Genomic DNA, 2,196 nt, shown 5'->3' with positions numbered 1-2,196 from the left:
AGCCCTGCTACTGCTCATCAGAGCCCGACTGTCTCCTAGTGGCTCGGCTTGCTGGAGGGCATCATCCTTCAGAGAGTCTGGAGGGATACATTGTGAGCAGGGTGGAAGCCTTCTTAGGCCAGGGTTGGCCAGCAGCCCTTTAGAAACCTTACCTTTCTCAGTAGCCTTCTTCAAACACACACACACGCACACACACCACACACACGCACACACATGCGCACACGCACACATGCACACACGCACACACACACGCGCACACACACACGCACGCACGCATGCACACGCGCCCGCACACGCACACACACATGTGCGCGCACACACATGTACGCACGCACGCGCACACACACACACACACATGCACGCACTCGCTCCGTGATTGTTTTAGTTATGCCAGCTCTGATCTTGGCTGAACACCATTGTGGGTTTGTTAAGAAGCGATGGCCAAACCACAATGTAGTATCACTGTGCTAATGCAGAAAAGACCCGAGTATGATCTTTCAAAAATAAAGTGTTCACTAGTCTGCAAAAGCAAATGAGACCAGAGGACCCATATTGCCCATGCTCAGCTGCCCTCCTCTCCTGCGGTGTTGGGACCAACTTCAAGAGATGGCATGTGGTTGTTCCGTGTGCAGAACGTGGACAGGGTTGCTGAGTGACTCATTGCTTGAATGGGATGGGCGTCATGTGTAGATAAAGAAAAATCAAATGTCCATTTGCATCAAACAGAAACAGGAGAGCTTGGCATTAAGGTAAAATGCCCTCTTCTCCACCCTCAAAATATATGCCTTATCTTGAAAACATACCTGTTCAATATAAATAACATTTTATTAAGTGACATAGAATATCATTGAAAATGTTACTATTTCAAGAATATAGCTTTTGATTTTTTTTCATAATAAATGGGATATGCTTGGGGAAGATTAAGACAAGAAAACTCTATTTCATGCTGGGAAATGGGTTAATGATAATGAAAAATAAGCAATTATTAAGTAAATGGATAAACCGGTAAACTGTAAAGATGATAGAAATTTGCAAAGGATACAAACTAATGGCATTAGGTTTTCCTGAAATCTGAAACCCCAGGGAAATGAAGGAAAGTGGAGCCTTCTTCTTCAGGACGCAGCCATTGCTGTGTGGCCTTGCCTGTCTCCTCTCCACCATCTTCCTGCACAGCGACCCAGCCTCCAACACCATCCCCATGCCATGTTGTCATGTTCACCCGAGATCCTGAAGGACGGATGTGTCCCTGTTAAAAAGGTAGTTGGGTAATCAGAGAAAGAGAAGCCTAGTACAAGGTGTTCTGGCTCTGCTTCAGTCAAGGGTTCGTTGAGGAAAACACATCAGTTATTTGGAGAGACCATTTAACATAAAAAATAGAGAACTATAAAGGGAAAAGGACCAGGGAGAGAATAACAATGAGAGAGAAACTGCAGGAAGCCACTTGGCATTTAGGACTGGGGCACAAAAGGAGATGTCGGAGGTTATCAGAACCTAGGAGATTGCAGAGCACCCTGTAGAGCAGAGAGTCAGGCACTTGAGGGACGGGCACTCTCCCGTAATTTCTGCAAGTGTGTAGGAATTCTGGAACCTGGAGCCCATTGCTATTGGAACAAATTGCAGCTTTAGCAGTGAGGAACTTTAGCATGAGCGCTGTTGACGGGAAGAAATCCACAAGAAGAGGCCAATCTCCCCTCCCACCACCTGCTCTCCAGGAGCCATGTCTGAGGCTCCACAGTGACACAGCCCAGCAGGAAGCAAACTGCAAAAACTGAAATAGTGTTTTCAGAATTCCTGTCCCAGCCTCACAGAACAGAATATTAGAAATGGGGGATCAAAGCTGAGAGGCCTTAGCCCTGAAGACTTCTACTGACTTGAGAAGGTCATTTATCCACATTTTAAGATGCCTGTATTAGTCACTCGACCATAGCTGGGTTCAAAGGGTAGAGGAAGCAGATGTTGGAGAAGCCTAACAGGGCCTACCGCAGCAATGGATAGCGCATCCTGCACCTCAGCTTAGAGCGTCCGCATCAAACAACTGACCTTCCCCTGATAAATCATTGTCATTCAGTCATCCCACCTATCTAAGCCACATGCTGGTGGTTTATATTTTCCATTTAGACAACATTTGGGAATGAAACATTCTAGTCATTTATTAATGTTTTTGAAAATATAGCAGTTTACTGGCTATGTGCTGTG

General features: G+C 45.9%; 1 annotated feature.

Annotated features, from left to right (window-relative positions):
* Positions 295-817: an enhancer, noted in NCBI's record as "H3K4me1 hESC enhancer chr2:6423042-6423564 (GRCh37/hg19 assembly coordinates)". NCBI's record gives its function as "activates a minimal SCP1, AML or CMV promoter by ChIP-STARR-seq in primed H9 embryonic stem cells {active_cell/tissue: H9 hESC(primed)}" and the evidence as "EXISTENCE:reporter gene assay evidence [ECO:0000049][PMID:30033119]".

This window comes from Homo sapiens, chromosome 2 (assembly GCF_000001405.40).
Source record: "Homo sapiens chromosome 2, GRCh38.p14 Primary Assembly".
NCBI lineage: Eukaryota > Metazoa > Chordata > Mammalia > Primates > Hominidae > Homo > Homo sapiens.
The sequence above is the reverse complement of the archived record's forward strand: the minus strand, read 5'-3'. Positions and strand labels throughout refer to the sequence as shown.